The 20,617-nt window shown below is 43.0% G+C and overlaps 1 protein-coding gene across 18 annotated transcripts in view; it reads left to right on the plus strand.

The window, feature by feature from the left end:
• Nucleotides 1-20,617, plus strand: part of XYLB (xylulokinase) — a 106,257-nt gene that overhangs the window by 31,750 nt on the left and 53,890 nt on the right. For 15 of the 18 annotated variants that reach the window (NR_146068.2, XM_011534327.3, XM_011534329.3 and 12 more), the window contains 3 exons: nucleotides 712-808; nucleotides 16,971-17,029; nucleotides 18,538-18,625. Coding sequence is in view for 15 of the 18 variants with exons in the window: in XM_011534327.3 (XP_011532629.1) it covers nucleotides 712-808; nucleotides 16,971-17,029; nucleotides 18,538-18,625 (244 nt within the window). In the remaining 3 variants the exon portion in view is untranslated. Of the gene's footprint in view, nucleotides 1-711; nucleotides 809-16,970; nucleotides 17,030-18,537; nucleotides 18,626-20,617 lie in introns of those variants that run through there. The other 3 variants (XM_047449384.1, XR_001740394.3, XR_001740393.3) reach the window with 3 other exon arrangements.

Consider the following 20,617-nt stretch of genomic DNA (forward strand, 5'->3'; position numbering starts at 1 on the left):
TGGGCGTCTCTGAGAAGGTGGCCTTTAGGTTGAGACCTGAAAGTACTCAGGATCTCACCATGGAAAGAGTAGGATAGACTTTCAGGCAGAGGGAGCAGCTTGGGAACTAGAAGAAGGTCAGTAAGGTTAGAGTGTAGCTGTTTATGAGGGGGATGGCGGCAGGTTCTAGCATTGGTCTCAGGTGCCAGAGAAGCAGGAGTGAGCCTGGGGTTGATGCCCATCAGTGCTAGCTTGAAGGACATGCCACAGGGGTGGGATCTCAGCGTAAGCTCGTGGCTCTCACTTATCTAGTATGTACTGCATTTTCCAGGCTCTGTTGTCTAATCTGATCATTGCAACAACCCTAAAAAACAGGCGCCACTATTACCTCTGTTTTGTTAAGAAAAAGAATGATAGCAAGACTAATGTAACTTATTGAAGATTGCAGAGCTGAATGGTAGACAGAACTTGAACTCTCAGCTGCCTGAGACTAAGTTCTGTAATGTCTCTTGACTCTCTTCAAAGTGACATGCATGTGAGGCTGTGAGCTTGTGTGCTTGAGTAGTGTGTTTGTGTGAGTGTGTGTGACAGGCAAAGATAGTGGTTAAAGAGCCCAGCTATGAGTTTCAAATCTGGGCTGTTGTTTAAAAAGATCACACACAGACACACACATACACACACGAATGGACAATGAGAGTTCCTTACTCTGTGCCCACCTTTTCCTGGAGACAGGTTGCAGCATTCCCTGGGGATGTGGAGGTTCGAGCACTAATTGAAGGACAATTCATGGCCAAGAGGATTCACGCAGAAGGCCTGGGCTATCGAGTCAGTAAGTGAGCCACTGGCAGCATGTGTCCCGGGGTGGGGGCTCAGGGCCAGCTCACTCGCAGGGGCCAGGGCTAGTGGGGCAATATCTACTAAAGTTTTCTTACAGGGGGACTTGTGCAGGAGGGAGGTGGAGCCTGACCTCAGGGATGGGGTGAGAAAGTGTCAATTGGCACTTGTAGGCAAGCATAGAATAGCAGACAGGTTGTTCCCGCTTCTCAGCTGTGTCCACAATAGCCTGACCTTTTGGCCAGGACCTGTAAGACTTCGGAATGGTCTTTCTGAAACCCTAAGCTCCAAGCTGCAGATGAGCTGTCCTGAGCTCTGGACTGCAAAGACATAGGCAGTGCAAGGTCTGGGGACATGAATGGATCTTGGCCTTCTAGCCTGGCCAGGTCCCATTGCCTGTGGGACACAGTCTGGGTCTTTCAGCTTGGACAGGGAAGAGGGGGATGTAGTACCACTGTCAAAACTCGGAAGACTGATGTCTTAGTTCATTTTCTGTTGCCTATAACAGAATACCTGTTCCTGGGTAATTTATAAGGAAAAGAAATTTATTTCTTACAGTTATGGAGGCTGAGAAGTCCAAGGTTGAGGGGCCATATCTGAAGAGGGCCTGCTTGCTAGTAGGGCTCTCTGCAGAGTCCTGAGGAGGTAGAGGGCATCACATGGTGAGGGAGCTGAGTGTGCTGGCTCAGGTCTCCCTTCCTCTTCTCAGAAAGCCACCAGTCCCGTTCCCACGATAACCCGTTAATCCATTAACCTGTTACTTTGTTAACCCATGAATGGATTAATCCACTCATAAAGCCCTCATGACCCAATCTCCTTAAAGGTCCCATCTTTCAATATGTCATGTTGGAGATAAAGCTTCAACATGAGTTTTGGAGGGGACACATATTCAAACCATAGCAACTGGCATGGAGAGGGCAGACCCAGGGCCGGGGGAGGCAAAAGGAGGAGAAAGGGATTTCTGACAACTTGAGCTGTAGAATAATCAGCATTAGGATGTCAGTGAGTTCCCCTTACAGGTGGCGTTGGAATGGTCTAAGGGTCTGTAAGGAGGTTGGACTGGCCGCCTATAGAGTCCAGGTTTCTAAGATGTATTTGTCTCTCTGGGCTATAGCTGTTGTCATTAGAGAAGATAGTGAAGCTGCTTTGCTTGAGGGCCTTCCTATGATACTCTATGGACAATCCAAGTTCTATGTAATATATATTTTATACCTTTGAATCAACTGAGTAAAAGGATACTATAAAAATACCTATTAGGGAAACCTCTTAGAAAACCTGTTAGACAGCATCTGCTAAAGCTGAATATACGCCTACCCAGCAATCTCATTTCTAAGTAAAGGCACAACAGGAATTTTTGCATGTGTTTACTAAAGATGTACAGGAGAACATTCATTGCAGTACTATGCTGAATAGCCCCACAGTGGAAGTGGCCCAGTGCCCATTAATAGTAGACAGAAAAAATGCATTGTGGTGCATTTGTACAACAGGATACTACACACAAATGAAAATGAACCAGCCTCAGTGATCCACAATGAAATGGGTGAATCTCACCAAATGTAACACTGAGCAAAAGAGGCCAAACATGGACATACATATGGCAGGGGTCTCTGTACATCAAATTCAAAAGCAGATGGCACTACAGGCCAGGCACAGTGGCTCACACCTGTAATCTCCACATTTTGGGAGGCCGAGGCAGGTGGATTGCTTGAGTCCAGGAGTTCGAGACCAGACTGGGCAACATGGTGTGTTGCGGGAAGTCAGGGACCCCAAACGGAGGGACTGGCTGAAGCCATGGCAGAAGAATGTGGATTGTGAAGATTTCATGGACATTTATTAGTTCCCCAAATTAATACTTTTATAATTTCTTACACCTGTCTTTACTGCAATCTCTAAACATAAATTGTAAAGATTTCATGGACACTTATCACTTCCCCAATCAATACCCTTGTGATTTCCTATGCCTGTCTTTACTTTAATCTCTTGATCCTGTCAGCTGAGGAGGATATATCGCCTCAGGACCCTGTAATAATTGCATTAACTGCACAAATTGTACAGCATGTGTGTTTGAGCAATGTGAAGTGTGGGCACCTTGAAAAAAGAACAGGATAACAGCAATTGTTCAGGGAATAAGAGAGATAACCTTAAACTCTGACTGCTGGTGAGCTGGGCAGAACAGAACCATGTTTCTCTTCCTTCAAAAGCAAATGGGAAAAATATCGCTGAATTCTTTTTCTCAGCATGGAACATCCCTGAAAAAGAGAATGTGCGCCTGCGGGTAGGTCTCTGAACTGGCCCCCCTGGGCGTAGCCTGTCTCTTATGGTTGAGGCTGCAGAGATGAAATAAACTCCAGTCTCCCATAGTGCTCCCAGGCTTATTAGGAAGAGGAAATTCCCACCTAATAAATTTTGGTCAGACTGGTTGATCCCAAAACCCTGTCTCCTGATAAGATGTTACCAATGACAATGGTGCCCGAAACTTCATTAGCAATTTTAATTTCACCTCGGTCCTGTGGTCCTGTGATCTCACCCTGCCTCCACTTGCCTTGTGATATTCTATTATCCTGTTAAGTACTTGATGTCTGTCACCCACACCTATTCGCACACTCCCTCCCCTTTTGAAAATCCCTAATAAAAACTTGCTGGTTTTTGTGGCTTGTGGGGCATCACGGATCCTACCAACGTGGGATGTCTCCCCCAGACACCCAGCTTTAAAATTTCTCTCTTTTGTACTCTGTCCCTTTGTTTCTCAAGCCAGCCGATGCTTAGGAAAAATGGAAAAGAACCTACGTGATTATCGGGGCAGGTTCCCCGATAATGGTGAAACCCCTTCTCTACAAAAAATACGAAAATTAGCCAGGCGTGGTGGCACATGCCTGTAGTCCCAGCTACTCAGGAGACTGAGGTGGGAGGATCGCTTAAGCCTAGGAGGTTGAGGCTGCAGTGAGCCATGAGACCCTGTCTCAAAAAAAATAAAAAAAGCAGATGAAACTATTTACTATTGTTGGAAGTCGGGATAATTAGTAGTTACCTTTCAGAAGGGGCCTGTGGGGTGCTGTCAATGTTCTGTTTCATGTTCCATGGGTGTGTTTAGTTTTTAAAAATTTATGAACATTATAGGCTTATGATGTGTGCATTTTTCAGGATGTGTGTTCTAGGTCAATACAAGATTTTAACATGTGTAAAATGACCACCATGAGCATTCTGATTGCCCTCATCCCACCACCCTAAGTGTAAAAAGACGTTTCCTAAAGGTCTGCAAAGACTTCCAAGTTCCCTGAAAATGAGACTGGGTGAGCAGGGCAGGGTTGGTGCTGGAGTTGGTGGAGTGCCTGGCAGGGGTCCTCCGGCTGTCAGAAGAGAACCCCAGGGAACGGAACAGCCCAGCATACAGGGAGAAGCAGTTAGGGCAAAAGGCCCCCATGGGCTCAGGAGGAGCTGATGGGATTGTGGCATTATTCCCAGCCTCTAAGGCATTTCTTGTGCAAAACAGCATAGAGTTACTTATCCTCTTAGCAAGCTTAAATGCAGAATCAGACCTGTCTTGCCGCTCTGCTGAGTGATCACTTAAATAGACATACTTGGAACCAACAGAGGTTGCACGCACGTGAGGACTCATTCTCCAGGCTGCTGTGTGGACTGGCCAGCTCTTTCGTTCTTGCCCAGACATCATCTCATTTGGCTTTAATAGTGTCTAAGGGCAATAAAGAGGCACTTTGAATAAAAATGATTATTGTGATACTAACAGCTGCCAGCATTTGTTGGGCACTGAGTGTGTGCCCGGCCCAGTTCCTTAGCAATTAATCTTTATTAACAACAGTACCGCTGAAGTAGGTACTGATATGATTCCCACTTCACAACCGAGGAAACCAAATCTTGCAGTGGTTAAATAACTTGGTCAGGGCTGGCAGAGCTGGGATCTGAACCAAGCCAGTCTGGCTCCAGATGCTGGATTCTCAACCACTGGCTGAACCTGCTTTTTTTAAGGAACAATCGCCCTCTTGATGTTTATAGACACCATCAGACATGATAGAAACCAGCTGGGCAGGGCTAATAAGCCATAGTTTTCAGTTTATATTTCAGTGTGTTTCATGTTGTTTAGGTTGATTGTAAAAACAGTCAAATCTTGTAATAACAAGTTTGAAAAATAAAGAAAATGGGCCTGGTGCTCACACCTGTAATCCCAGCACTTTGGGAGGTGGAGGCGGGAGGATCACTTGAGCCCAGGAGTTTGAGACTGGCAACAGAGAGACCATATCTTCACAAATAATAATAATTATAAATATCCCAGTATAGTGGCATGTGCTTGTGGTCCCAGCTACTGGGGGTGGGGTGGCAGGGGTGGCAGGAGGCCGGGGGGATCGCTGGAGCCTGGGAGGTCAAGGCTGCAATGAGCTGTGATTGCACCACTTCACTCTAGCCTGGGCGACAGAGCGAGACCATGTCTCAAAAAAATAAAGGAAAATGACTCATAATCCCATCCCCTCTCTCCAACCACTGGTATCATTTAGGGACATTTTCTCCCAGTCTCCTTTATGAGCTTATTTCCATACAGCCATAGTTTTGTTCCTTTGTACCTTATATGCAAAGGGTGTATACAAGAACCAAAGTTTGTCAGAAGTCATCTTTGTGGTGCTGCGTATGATGGCCAGGTTACTTTTCCTGCATTTGGGCACTGAGGGTGTTCTTGTTTTTTTTGTTTGTTTGTTTTCTTTGTTTTGTTTTGTTTTGTTTTTCTGGAGACAGGGTTTCACTCCTGTTGCCCAGACTGGAGTGCAGTGGTGTGATCTTGGCTCACTACAACCTCCGCCTCCCGGGTTCAAGTGATCCTCCTGCCTCAGTCTCCTAAGTAACTGGGACTACAGGTGCACACCACCACGCCCAGCTAGTTTTGTATTTTTAGTAGAGACGGGGTTTCACCGTGTTGGCCAAGCTGGTCTCGAACTTCTGACCTCAAATGATCCACCTGCCTCGGCCTCCCAAAGTGCTGGGATTGCAAGTGTGAGCCACCGTGCCTGGCCATTGTTCTTGGTTTTCCAACGTGGAATCACACTAGAGCATCTTCCATAGCTTGAATTATTTCCCCAGGAGGATGGCAGTCCTTCTCTCTTCCCAGACACTGTCTTCACGGCCAGCGATGAAGATGGGAGAAGCTGAGAGGTGGGGGCTGAATGTCTTCTTCTGGACAGAGCCAAGGGGCTGGATGGAAAGCAGCAGGTCTTAAAAACAACTATTTGTTTTAAAATACATAACGAATGGATGTCTTTTTATCACAAAAGATTCATGCAAAACAGAAATATGGAATAAGAAGCAAATGCCCCCTTCATTTGCCTCCCAGACTCCTTTCCTTCTTTCCAGACTGTGACTTCCTTCCTGTGAGTTTCTGTGTTAGATTGAATCATACGGAATTGCCAATATTGAAGAAGTTTTGATTTACAAAAATGGCAATTTCATATGGTTCGACCTGACACGTGTGTGTGTGTATATATTTAACAGAAATGCTATTACATTCTATGTGTTATTCTGAGACTTGCTTTCCATAACAGTATGTACAGGTCTACCTTTTTGTTTTCTAATGACTGGCATGAGGTCTGATAAATTATTTTATAGCCCTAGTTGAAGGACATTAAGATTATTTCTTGTTTTGTTTTGTTTTTGTTTTTGTTCTTGTTTTGAGACAGAGTCTCACTCTGTCACCCAGGCTGGAGTGCAGTGGTACAATCTCAGCTCACTGCAACCTTCGCCTCCCGGGTTCAAGCGATTCTTGCACCTCAGCCACCTGAGTAGCTGGGATTACAGGTGCGCGCCATACCACCTGGCTAATTTTTGTATTTTTGTAGAGACGGGGTTTCGCCATGTTGCCTAGGCTGGTCTCAAACTCTTGACCTCACGTGATCCACTCATCTTGGCCTCCAAAGTGCTGGGATTGTAACCTCCACTTTCACCATCTCATTCTATGCCCTATACCCTTGTCCCTAGTTCATTCTTGTTTGTGTATTTTTTTTCCCTTGAGCATGTTAGCTAAAGGTTGGTATATTTTATTAAGCAATGTTAATATTTTGTTTTGTGCTCCCTTTTATTAATTTCTAATTTTATCTTTTTAAATGCTTTCCTTCTACTTTATGAATTTTTTCTTTTTCTGTATTTTTAAGTTGAAATTTTAGCTCATTTATTCCTATCCTGTATTAACTTCTAATTTATGCATTTCAGAATGCTACATGTTAACTTTATTTACATAACATATCTTTCATTTCTAAAAAGATAGTAATTTTCATCTTTTTCTGCATCAGTGAGTGGTCCTTCAAACTGGCCCCTCGTCCTTTTGACATATCTTCCATCATTCCTTGAGCATTTCCATAGCTTCTAGTATAAAAAAAGTTTCAGGCTCATCTTGTTTTTTCCTTGGATCAGCCTTGTAATCTTCCATTTATCCAAGGGGCCCTGACTTCTCTGAGTGGGAGAGATGTTTGGATGCTCTCTCTGGATGCTCATTGCTACTGGGATGATGCTGTTCCCAGCCCCTTTCAGTGGGCTGAGCTGGGAATATGTAAGGATATATAACAACCCCTTTCAGTGGGCTGAGCTGGGAAATATTAGGATATATATATACATATCCAAATATATATATGTCTGTATCAATACACACGTTACCTTTCTATTTGTCTGTCTGTCTACTTCTCCATGTGTTGAAAAACATGAGTTCAACCCTATACACTCTACTTCCAGTCCAACACCATGGGGTTCATTCTGGCTTTCTTCCTTCCCATATTTGTATCTTATCCTAACAGTGACAAAGTTGATTCTTCTGACCCCTCCAGATTGCTGCCTCCTTGACATGCAAGCCCCATTTTGGCTTCTCTGCTTACCCTTACCTGTGTTGTCTCTGTGTCGTCTCTCCAGCAGCCTCTTGAATCTGCCCCACTCTGGTTATGTACTTACATGTGGCCCTTGAGCCACTTCTGTTTGCCTATTTAATGGCTTTTTAGAGAAGGAAGAAGAAAAAAGAAAGGTAGGAAGGTAGACAGGCAATAAATATTTTTAAAGGGAAGGGTCCATTTACATTTAATGTAATTATTGAAATGATTGGATTTAATTGAATCTATCCATTTATTTTTTATTTTTTTAATCCATCCATTTACAAAATGGATTACATATCAATTTTTCTTTTTCTTTTCTTTTGTTCTATATGTTCTTTTTTCTTTCTTATTCTTTTCCTGTCTTATTTTTGGATTAACTGAGCAATGTCTAGTATTCCATTTTATCTCCTCTGTTGGCTTTTTAAGGTATACACTTTTTAATTGATTTTTAAATTGAAATCCTTAATTTGAAAAGTCTGGTTTGCACTAATATTATACACTTGAATTTTTTACGAACATGCTTGCACTACAAGAATGACTAAAGGATGTCTTCCGGGCTAAAGGGAAAATCATACCAGATGGAAAGTCAGAGCTTCAGGAAGGAATGTAGAACATCTATAAAAAGTGGATTCTCTTAAGTTTTACTTTGTCTGAAAATGTATTTATTTTACTTCATATTAAAATAATGTTTTCTGCTGTGGAATTCTAGGTTGGCACTTTTTACTTTCAGCACTCTGAAAATGTCATTTCATTGTTTTCTTGACTTCTAATGTTTCAGATAAGAAATTAACTGTCATTCTTAATGTTATTCTCCTGAATGTAATGGGGTTTTCTTCTCTGGCTGATTTAAGATTTTTCTATTAATCTTTGATTTTCAGCAGTTTGATTATGATATACCTAAGTAAGGGTTTTTTAATTATTATTTTGTATGTATCCCCTTTGTGATTCACTGAGCTTCTTGGATCTGTGGGTTAATGTCTTCCATCAATTTTGGAAAATTCTTAGCCATTATTTCTTCAAATATTTATTTTTCCCTATTCCCTCTTTCCTTTCCTCTGGACTTCAGTTACACATCTGCTGTTGTCCCATAGGACTTTGATTTTCTATTCTTTTTTTTTTTTCTCTCTCTCCCTGCTTCAGTTGGACAAGTTCATTTTTTGTTTTGTTTTGTTATGTTTTGTTTTTTTGAGACAGAGTCTTGCTCTGTTGCCCAGGCTGGAGTGCAGTGGCATGATCTCGGCTCACTCCAACCTCCACCTGCTGGGCTCAAGCGCTTCTCCTGCCTCAGCCTCCTGAGTTGCTGGGACTACAGGCAAGCGCCACCACATCTGGCTAATTTTTTGTATTTTTAGTAGAGATGGGGTTTCACCATGTTAGGCAGGCTGGTCTTGAACTCCTGACCTCAGGTGATCCGCCTGCCTCAGCCTCCCAAAGTGCTGGGATTACAGGCATGAGTCACTGTGCCCGGACTTCAGATGGACAATTTCTATCACACCTCTTTTTATTCATGTTTCTGCTGTAGACAGTCTGCTATTAAGTCCATCTAACAAATTCATTTTGGATATTATATTTTTTCTATTTCTAGAATTTCCATTTCATTCTCTTATACTTTCTTATGTCTCTGCTGAAATTTTTCATATTTTAACCATTTTGTCCATCTCTTCCTCTGACTTTATATCATCTTTATAATTATTATAAAGCTCCTATCTGCTAATTCATCTCAGAGTCTGCTTTTATTTACTATTTTACTGCCATTTCCTGCTTCTTAAAATGCTATTTAATTTTGTTTGAATGCTGTACGTTGTGTTTAAAAGTACGGTGTTGACTAAAGTGGCTAATTTTTAAACCTTTTACTTTTGAGATAATTGTAGATTCACATGCAGTTGTTAAATAAATAGCTAATGTTTACCTGCAGAAAAGGCTTGCCCTTCTATCAGGAAGTGCGGGTGAGGTGGTGGTTTTTTTTTGTTTTTTTTTTTTTTTTTTTTTTACTTTTATCATTTAATTTTTATTTTTAAAAATGTATATAGTAAAAAAGCTGGGTTGCGGAGATGTCGGTCAGTGGATTAAAAATTTTGGTTAGGGTACAGGAACATATTCAAGAGATTTATTGTACAACATGGTGATGATAGTTTATAACAGTGTATTGTATTCGTCAAAATTGCCAAGAGATTTTAGGTGTTCTCACCACAAAAGATAAGTATGTGAAGTAATGCATAAGTTAATTAGCTCAATTTAGTCATTCCACAATATATACATATTTCAAAACATGTTGTATAGGATAAATATGTGCAATTTTTATTGTCAATTTAAATAAGTAACAAAATAAGTAAAAAAAAGTCTAGAAGCCTATATAACAGCATACTAACAGTGTAACTCTGGTGTAACTAGGGTTGGTTTTTACTTTCTTCATTTTGTCTTTTCTAATTTTTTGTATAGTAACTTTTATCACTGGGCTTAACAGGAATCTAAAAAATGTATTTTTAGCAATTGTTATGTTATATCCACAACATGATCTATATATTTTGTCAGGGAGGTTTATTTTTTGACTCAGAACTAGTTTGTTCTTGAAATATGTACTTTATTCTTTTAATTAGGGCTTAAAATGTTAAAATATTTCTAAAGAGGACTATTTTGGGACTCTACAGTGTACCTCTTTAATGAGAACACCCACAGTTTAGGCCTATTAAGGCATACTTCCTTTATTTTACTAAAGAATTAAAATAATAAAGATTTGATAATTTTCTTTCTTTTTTTTTTTTATTGATCATTCTTGGGTGTTTCTCGCAGAGGGGGATTTGGCAGGGTCATAGGACAATAGTGGAGGGAAGGTCAGCAGATAAACAAGTGAACAAAGGTCTCTGGTTTTCCTAGGCAGAGGACCCTGCGGCCTTCCGCAGTGTTTGTGTCCCTGGGTACTTGAGATTAGGGAGTGGTGATGACTCTTAACGAGCATGCTGCCTTCAAGCATCTGTTTAACAAAGCACATCTTGCACCGCCCTTAATCCATTTAACCCTGAGTGGACACAGCACATGTTTCAGAGAGCACAGGGTTGGGGGTAAGGTCATAGATCAACAGGATCCCAAGGCAGAAGAATTTTTCTTAGTACAGAACAAAATGAAAAGTCTCCCATGTCTACTTCTTTCTACACAGACACAGCAACCATCCGATTTCTCAATCTTTTCCCCACCTTTCCCCCTTTTCTATTCCACAAAACCGCCATCGTCATCATGGCCCGTTCTCAATGAGCTGTTGGGTACACCTCCCAGATGGGGTGGTGGCCGGGCAGAGGGGCTCCTCACTTCCCAGAAGGGGCGGCCGGGCAGAGGCACCCCCCACCTCCCTCCCAGACGGGGCGGCTGGCCGGGCGGGGGCTGACCCCCCACCTCCCTCCCGGACGGGGCGGCTGGCCGGGTTTTTTTTTGTTTAATCAGGGGTTGGATCAGTACTAGTTAGTTTTAGTTCACCAGTAGTTGCAGTGTCTTGGGATCAGGATCAGCAGGATCAGGCCCCTCCCTCCATCAAGTCTTTGGGACCTAACCACTGAGATTACAGAGCTCTTTCTCTGTTTTCCAGCTCTTCCCCCACTTCCACATCACTGCTTCCATAGTAGTTCACTGGAGACATTTGGTGGGTAGGGAGGACTAGCTCTATATTGGAGACTCTTCCAGATTTCAGTCCTCCATACCAGCCCAAATGTAGTTGTTTTTCTTTTCTAGCAAATTTTATCTGCCTGTAGAGTCTTACTTCTTCATGTCTCCCATGCTGCAGGTATGAATCAGCACTTAAGGGCTCATCTCATTCTGGAATTTATTTTATTTAGACTTCTTGAATTTACAATTTTTTGATAGCTTCAAGCAAAAATATGATGCTCTGGTTGTTGTTGTTTATTCCATTCTGTCATTGTTACAGCACAAATGTGTTCTTTCTTGACCATCATCATCTTAGCTGGAAGTGGAACTATATGTCTTTTATTAGATTAAGGTTTATTATTATTTTACTATTTATTTTTATTTATTTATTCTAAAATGGAGTTTCACTTGCTCTGTGGCCCAGGCTGGAGTGCAATGGTGCATTCTCGGCTCACTGCAACCTCTGCCTCCTGGGTTTAAGCAATTCTCCTACCTCAGCCTCCTGAGTAGCTGGGATTACAGGTGCCCACCACCACACCTGGCTAAGTTTTGTATTTTTAGTAGAGACGGGGTTTCACCATATTGGCCAGGCTGGTCTCGAACTCCTGACCTCAGGTGGTCTTCCTGCCTCGGCCTCCCAAACTGTTGGGATTACAGGTATGAGCCACTGTGCCCAGCCTATTATATTTTTTTGGAGACAAAGTCTGGCTTTGTCAGGCAGGAATACACCCAGGCTGGAGTACAGTGGTGTGATCACGGCTCATTGCAGCCTTGAATTCCTGGGCTCAAGCAATCCTCCCACTTCAACCTCCCGAGTAGCTGGGACCACAGGCATGCATCACCGTTTCCAGCTAATTTTTGTATTTTTTGTAGGGACAGAATCTTTGTTGTCCAGGTTGGTCTCAAATTCCTGAGCTCAAGCAATCCTCCTCCTGCCTTGGCCTACTGAAGTGCTAGGATTAGTAGGCATAAGCCACTATGCTCAGTCAGTTTATTGTGAAAAATATCATGTATACAGTAGAGTATATGTATCTTACAGCAAGTTATAAAACATATTAATCAAACATCTGATGATCAGCACTCGGGTTAAGAAATAGAACATCAGCCAGGCACAGTCACTTACACCTGTAATCCCAGCACTTTGGGAGGCCGATACAGGCGGATCGCTTGAGGTCAGGAGTTCAAGACCAGCTTGGCCAACATGGTGAAACCCCGTCTCTACTGAAAACACAAAATTAGCCAGGCATGGTGGCGGACGCTTATAGCCTACTCAGGAGGCTGAGGCGGGAGAATCACTTGAACCCAGGAGGCGGAGGTTGCAGTGAGCCAAGATCACCCCATTGCACTCCAGCCTGGGAGACAGAGCGAGACTTCATCTCAAAAACAACAACAACAACAACAACAAAAAAAAAGAAGAAATAGAACACTAGAACCTTGGAGTCTTGCTGTGCTCCTCTTCCACTGTATCCTCATCTTCCCCTCATCCCTGCAGAGATCATTTCTATCCAGATTTTTGTATTATAATTTCCCTGGAATTCTTTATGGTTTTGCCAGCTGTGTATGCATTCCTTTAAATACATTGTGGCTTTTTGCCCTTTCTGAACTTCATGATACATGGAATTATACTACATGCGGTGTGATTTGCTGCTTTAGATCAACGTCATGTTTATGAATTCATCCATGTTAATGTGCATAGATAGCTATTAGCTGTTAATTTTCATTGTACTGTGATATTCCATCACATGATTATACAACCATTTATCCATTTGCTATGACCTGACTGTGTCTCCCCAAATTCACATGTTAAAAACTTAATCCCCAATGTGACAGTGTTGGGAGATGGGCCTGATGGAAGGTGTTTAGGTCATGAGGGCTCTTGTGTATTAATGCCACTATAAAAGTGCTTTCAGGAGTGAGTTCACCATTTTCTGCTTTTCAGCCATGTGAGGACATAGCATTCTGGGGATTCTGCTAAACATTCTACAATATACGGGACGATCCCTCACAAAAAGAATTATCCAACCCAAAATAAGCAGGGTTTTATTCTGGTTGGAAGAGGAATCAAGCTTTTTTCTGTGATGAGTAGAGCTACTTTCCATGTTTGTCTCCATGCCTGCTGTGGGAGCTCAGTGTCATTTCAAGTTCCTCTTCACTCAGTCCCCCCATGCACCCTCCCCAGCTAGTAGCCCACTTTCACTAATGAGCACTTCTTTACTTTAGCTTGGGGACAAACACTGCTGCTGCTTCTGCTGCTGAGTGTAAGGGAGTGGAGGGAAGGGTCTTGAGACCCCTGCTGTCATGAAGTCAGTTGTGTACTCTCAGCAGCAGTTTATGAGGGTTCTTATTTTCCCATATCCCCACCAACACTTAACAGCAACAACCTTTAAATCTGTTGCCAGTCTGATGGGTGCAAACTGGTATCTCAGTGTTAGTTTAATTTGTGTTTTCTTAATTAACGATGATTTTGTTTTGTTTTGTTTTGAGATGGAGTTTCGCTCTTTTTGCCCAGGCTGGAGTGCAATGGCGCGATCTCGGCTCACTGCAACCTCCACCTCCCGGTTCAAGTGATTCTCCTGCCTCAGCCTCCTGAATAACTGGGATTACAGGCGCACACCACCATGCCCAGCTAATTTTGTATTTTTAGTAGAGATGGGATTTCACCATGTTGGCCAGGCTGATCTCAAACTCCTGACCTCAGGTGATACACCCGTCTCGGTCTCCCAAAGTGCTGGGATTACAGGCGTGAGCCACCGTGCCTGGCCAATTAATAATGATTTTGAACAGCTCTTTGTAACTCTGGTTTCTTTCTCTGAATTGGCTATGTACATTCTTTCCCATTTTTCTATTTGATTTCCTATCTTTCTCTTATTGATTTGTAGGATTTTATTGTATACTTTGAATATTAGGTTTTTGACAGTTTTTTGTGTTGCAGATATCTCTCATTTATCTGTTGCTTATTTATAGTGTCAGCAATTTAACAGAATTTTGATGAAATTCATCAATTTTTCATCTTCCATTTTATGCTTTTGAGATATTGTTTAAGAGATTTCCCCCCACTCCAGTATCACAGAAGTACTGTTTTATGTTTCTCCTGTTGATGTTACAATTTTACCTTCCACATTTAGGACTTTGATCCATCTGAAGTCTTTGCGAATGATGTAACTTGGGATCCAATTTGATTTTTTCCACATGTTGATCCAGTTTTCCAAACACTATTTACTAAGTGGTCTGTTTTACCCCATTACTTGTAGTGCCCCCTTTATCATTTATCCAGTCCCTATATATACATGGGTCTTTCTCTGTACTCCCTTTCATTTTTTTTTTCCTTTTTTTGGAGACAGGGTCTCACTTTGCCGCACAGGCTGGAGTGCAGCGGCGCGATCTCAGCTCACTGCAACCTCCACCTCCTGGGTTCCTCCCACCTCAGCATCCCGAGTAGCTAGGACTACAGACAACGTGCTACCATGCCTGGCTAATTTTTAAATAGTTTTTATAGAAACAGGGTCTTGCCATTTTTCCCAGGCTGGTCTCAAAGTCCTGGGCTCAAGCAATCTACCTGCCTTGGCCTCCCAAAGTGCTGGGATTACAGGCATGAACCATGGCACCTGACCTGCACTCCTGTTTCTACTTCATGGGTTTATTGGTCTTGTTCTTGGGGCAGAAAAACTGTTGTATTATTGTGGCTTTGTAGTATGTCAGTATTAGTTGGCTAGGGCTGCCATAAGAATGTGCCACAGAATGGGTGGCTTAAGCAACAGAAATTTATTTTCTCACAGTTCTGGAGGCTAAAAGTCTGCGATCAAGGTGTCGGCAGGGTTAATTTCTTCTTAGGCCTCTTTCCTTAGCTTGTAGATGGTCACCTTCTTCCTGTGTCTCCACATGGTCTCCTCCTGTGTGTCCCTGTGTCTTCATTTTCTCTTCTCATAAGGACATCAGTCATACTGGATTAGGGCCCACCCCTAATGACTTTATTTTTAACTTAATTACCTCTTTAAAGAGGTAATATCTGTCTTTATCTTCAAATACACTCACATTCTGAGAAACTGGGGTTTAGGACTTCCACATATAAATTTAGGGTAGACACACTTCAGCCCATAATAATGTTTTAATATGTAGTATAGCAATTATCCCCTCCTTGCTTTTCTTTTTAAAATATTGTCTGAGCTGTTTATAGGTCTTCATTTTTCCACAAATATTTTATAAGAAATTGGTCTAGTTCCTTAAAAGAGTCCAGCTGGAATTTTTATTTAGGTTGAATAGGATGTATACATTAATTGGAAAAGATTGACATATTTATAATGTTAATTCATATTCATTCAAGACCATGGAATATCTTTTAATTTATTTAGATATTCTTTTTTGTACTTTAACAACAATTTCAACTTTTTCTTAATAGAGACTTTTGAATTCTTTGTTAAGGTATTCCCTTACATGTAAGTCTACCTTACATTTCTGGTTGCTGTTGTGAAAGTTAATTTATATATTTTCTATTGTATTTGATAGTTGATTATTATTAGAAATGCCATTGATTATTATAAGTTGATTTTGTATCTGGCAAACTTATTAAACTCTTGTTAGTTTTATTAGTTTGTTTATTCTTTATTTTTTCCAAATAGATGGACTATTGTCTGCAAATGACAGTTTTCTTTTCCTTTATTTCAATACTTATATATTTTAGTTGTTTTTGTTATCTTATGGCATTGACTGGTAGATCTAATACTGTGTTAAACAGTGGACTGGATACTGTGAATCTTTGTTTTGTTTGTAGTTGTATTAGTTATCTATTGCCATGTAACAAATTATCTCAAAATTTAGCAGCTTAAAACAGTAATAAATGTTTATTCTCTTATACAGTTTCTTTGGGTCAAGAATTTGGTTTCAGCATGGTTGGGTGATTCTGATTGAGGATATCTCCTGAGGTTGCAGTCACAATGTCATCTGGGGCTGCAGTCATCTGAAGGCTTGACTGACGCTGGAGGATCTGCCTCCAGGCTGGCTCACTCATGTGGCTGTTGGCAAGAGGCCTCAGTCTCCTGCCATGTAGACCTCTCCCTAGGGCTGCTTGAGTGTCTTCAGGATGTGGCACTTAGCTTTCCCCAAAGTGAGTGATCCAAGAGAGCATGATCTGTGTCAGAGCGAGATGGAAGCCTCAATGTCTTTTATCATCTAGTCTTGGACTTCATACTTCATCATTTACACAAGGTTCTATTGGGTATACAAGTCGGCCCTATTGAATGTGAGGGGGGACTACTTGAAGGTGTGAATATCAGGAGGGAGGGATTATGTGGAGGCCATTTTGGAATCTGGCTGACACACCAGTCTGAAAGAAAGTGCTTCTAAATCTCTGTTAAGAATGACATTTGTTATAAGTTGTGGATATATGACTTTTATCATTTAAGGAAGTTCCCTTCTCCTGTTTTGTTGAGATATTTAAAACAAAAAAAGTATTAAAGACAGTTAAGGTGGGTGGGGCAGCAACCTTACAAGCAAATGAATGTGACAGGCCTGCACACACAGAGCCAGCTTTGGATCTCTCCCGTAGTCCTGTGTGATAAGTGGGAGGCATTGGCCCATCATGAGCCCTCTGTAGCTGAAGAACTCTGCAAAAACAGCCCTTTCTGCCTTGGGAGAACTGGCATAGCTATTTTACTTTTTTCTTTTCCCTTGCAGTGTCCAAGACAAAGATTTTGGCCACAGGAGGAGCATCTCACAATAGAGAAATCTTACAGGTAAGCGTTAGTAGTGGGCCTTACACCATGGCCTCTCCCATATCTGTTATGTCTAAGAGCCAGAGACTGGATAGGAAGGACAGCCTCCATTCCCACTCCTGCAGGAATGGGGAGCTCTTAGCTCACACTCCAGGAAGCAGCTCTGTTGCCTTACAGCTCACACTGTGAGTGGGATCTGTCTCACATGCAGGTGAATTCTATGGCTGTGTACAATCCACTCTCTGATACCAGCACTGTCCTCTGGAGTCACATGGAAAGTGCCTGTTCTTCCACATGGCAAACCTTCTCACATCTAGTGCCAGTGTTCTTGTCTTCCTCAAGGCCTCTGCCTTCCAATGTAACCATCGCTGATTCTCCAACCAGTCCTCTTATAACACAGTTGCCAGACTGTTACTGTCCTTCTGGTCCTTCATTATGCCAGAAACATATGACCAAAAGTAGAATCAACCTGCAGATGTCTGACACTCAGACTGTCACCTGTGGGGCTGTCAGAGCCTGTTATGGAGACATTGTGCATTTTTGGGTGTAGCCTGGGGCTGCCTTAACTGTTAGAGTAACTGTATTAGCTGTTTGCTTGTGACTACCTATCTTAGGTAAGATTTTTCTAGAAACAGAGCCTGAAATGGGAATTCTTCTATAAGCAGTTTGTTGAGAGAGTACTCCCAGGAAGAAGGAAGTGAGGGACTCAGGGCAGTGCAGAGGAAGAAGGATAAGTGAGGATATGGTCTTGTCTGGAGTCTACTTCAGCTCCATCCTGGTGGGGAGGTGGGGCTCTGGAACATGAATTATACCACAGAGCTGATTTTACCTTGGGACAAGGGGGCCAACAGGCCACCCTGGGGAGGTTAAATCTCCTGTGAGCGGTGGCCTATGCTCAGCCAAGGTCAGCTTTCTTGAGGAGGTAGTGCTGCAAGCCATTAGTAGCCAGTACTCACAGCAGCTGGGGCAGGATGCACAATGGTCCAGTGAGGGGGATCTGGGTCGGCATCAGTGGCATCTACTACAATATCTCTGGTCAACTAAGACCTCCCCCAAGTTCTTTCCATGTGAACTCCTCTTAGTACAGGTCCTCCATTTGAAATGTATGCAATTTATTTGTGAACCTAAATGGGAAACTTCACCATTATGCCCATGAAACATGCTCTTGTTAGCTTGGGTTTGTTTGGGCTTGTTAATGTTAGTCTAATACCCAGCTGTCTCCAGCCCTAGGTCAGTGCCATTTGCTAAACATACTTCCTAAATCTTCTGCCTTGTCTTTGGTGAAATGGCTAAAAAGTACAGGGACAGCCTGGGGAGCTGTGGCTCTCCACTACGGACTTCCCCCAGCTCATCCTGACTCTATTATCACCAGGGTAGCATGACCAAGCATACTCCTCTTAAGGCAGTCGAGGTGGAATGGAAGGGGTCAGAAGACATATGAGGGAGAGAGCCTGGAAAGTGCATCCCACAATGTCTGTGTTCCCTCTGAGGAATGGCTCACCACAGTAGAACCTCTGTGTCCTTTTCAGGTGCTTGCAGATGTGTTTGATGCCCCGGTGTATGTTATAGACACTGCCAACTCGGCCTGTGTGGGTTCTGCATACCGAGCTTTTCATGGTAGGTTGATGGAGGGAGACAGCTATCTCTGGAAGTGGCCAGGACATGGGGTGGGCTGAGGAGGGTGGAAAGGGGAGAGTGAGGTGTACCCAGTCTTTGGGGACATTGGAGTCTTGGGGACTTCAGCTTCATTTTTCTAGCTCCCAGCAGGTGAGAACCAACCCATACTCTCTGTTCCTTTATTCTTTGCTTAAAGTGGAGAAAAAGAGGCTGGGTCCTAACTGAATGAGGTCTGGTCAGAGTTAAGGTCAGCACAGGGACATGGGAAAAGAACACAGGGCATGGTTGAGAGCACGTGGGCATGAGTCTGGACAGCTAGAGGGCAGGAGAGGTGGACAAAGTCCAGAGCCGTCTTTTCAGCAAGAACAGAAGTTGAAACAAAGGGGAAGGCTTCAGGCCCAAGCAGTCCAGGACCCTGGACAGCACCATGGAGCCCTGTTGCCCTGTTGGAGGCCTCGCTAAAACTCTGGGTATTAAGGGAAGCTCCCCGATCTAGGCGAGTTCTGGCAGGAGCAGCACCTACCTGCAAGGGCAGTCCTTCAAGTTGGATCAATTTGCTCTGTCTCCTGCTTGCTCAGGGAGCTCCTGTAGCAGCCCAGGTGGTTCTATTCTTTTCATATTCTTAACATTTAACATACCTATTTCAGCTTATATTTTTCTTTTCTTTTTTTTTTTTTTGAGACGGAGTCTTGCTCTGTCACCAGGTTGGAGTGCAGTGGTGCAATCTTGGTTCAATGCAAGCTCTGCCTCCCGGGTTCACACCATTCTCCTGCCTCAGCCTCCCGAGTAGGTGGGACTACAGGTGCCTGCCACCATGCCCAGCTAATTTTTTGTATTTTTAGTAGAGGAGGGGTTTCACTGTGTTAGCCAGGATGGTCTCGATCTCCTGACTTTGTGATCTGCCCACCTTGGCCTCCCAAAGTACTGGGATTACAGGCGTGAGCCACCGCACCCGGCCTAAGCTTATGTTTTTCTATCAACGTTGAGAATTAATCAGGCAACATATCCTTCTCTCAATAATTAACCTTGGCCGGGTGTGGTGGCTCATGCCTGTAATTCCAGCATTTTGGGAGGCCGAGGCGGGTGGATCACAAGGTCAGGAGTTCGAGACCAGCCTGGACAATATGGTGAAACCCCATCTCTACTAAAAATACAAAAATTAGCTGGGCATAGTGGCACACACCTGTAGTCCCAGCTACTCGGGAGGCTGAGGCAGGAGAATCGCTTGAACCCGGGAGGCAGAGGTTGCAGTGAGCCGAGATTGCGCCATTGCACTCCAGCCTGGGTGACAAAGTGAGATTCCATCTCAAAAAACAAAAAAAAATAATTAACCTCTTACTCATTTATTCTCTCCCCACCCCATCTACCTCACCCTGCCTCATGCCATATCCTATATCAAGATCACTTGGGAATTTATTTCCAGATTCTTATATTAAGTACATTTAATATTATATTGGCTTTTATTCACACTTACCTATGAGTCTGCCTGCCTGCCTGCCTGCCTGCCTGCCTGCCTGCCTTCCTTCCTTCCTTCCTCTGTTTGTTACTTTGTCTTTTTTTTTTTTTTAACTTCCTGACATTTCGGTTGGGTGCAGTAGCTCACGCCTGTAATCCCAGCACTTTGGGAGGCCAAGGTAGGCGGATTATGAGGTCAGGAGATCGAGATCATCCTGGCCTAGAGGGTGAAACCCCGTCTCTACTAAAATACAAAAAAAAAAAGAAAATAGCTGGGCATGGTGGCGCACGCCTGTAGTCCCAGCTACTCGGGAGGCTGAGGCAGGGGAATAGCTTGAACTTGGGAGGCGGAGGTTGCAGTGAGCTGTTGCAGTGAGCCGAGATCGCACCACTGCACTCCAGCCTGGCAACAGAGCAAGACTCCATCTCAAAACAAAAAACAAAAAAAAACAAACTTCTTCTTCTTTCTCCTTTATTTCTATGCTGAGGTTTTGTTTTGTTTTGTTTAAGACAAGGTCTCTGTTGTCCAGCCTGGAG

The sequence above is a fragment of the Homo sapiens genome, chromosome 3 (assembly GCF_000001405.40).
Source record: "Homo sapiens chromosome 3, GRCh38.p14 Primary Assembly".
Classification (NCBI taxonomy): domain Eukaryota; kingdom Metazoa; phylum Chordata; class Mammalia; order Primates; family Hominidae; genus Homo; species Homo sapiens.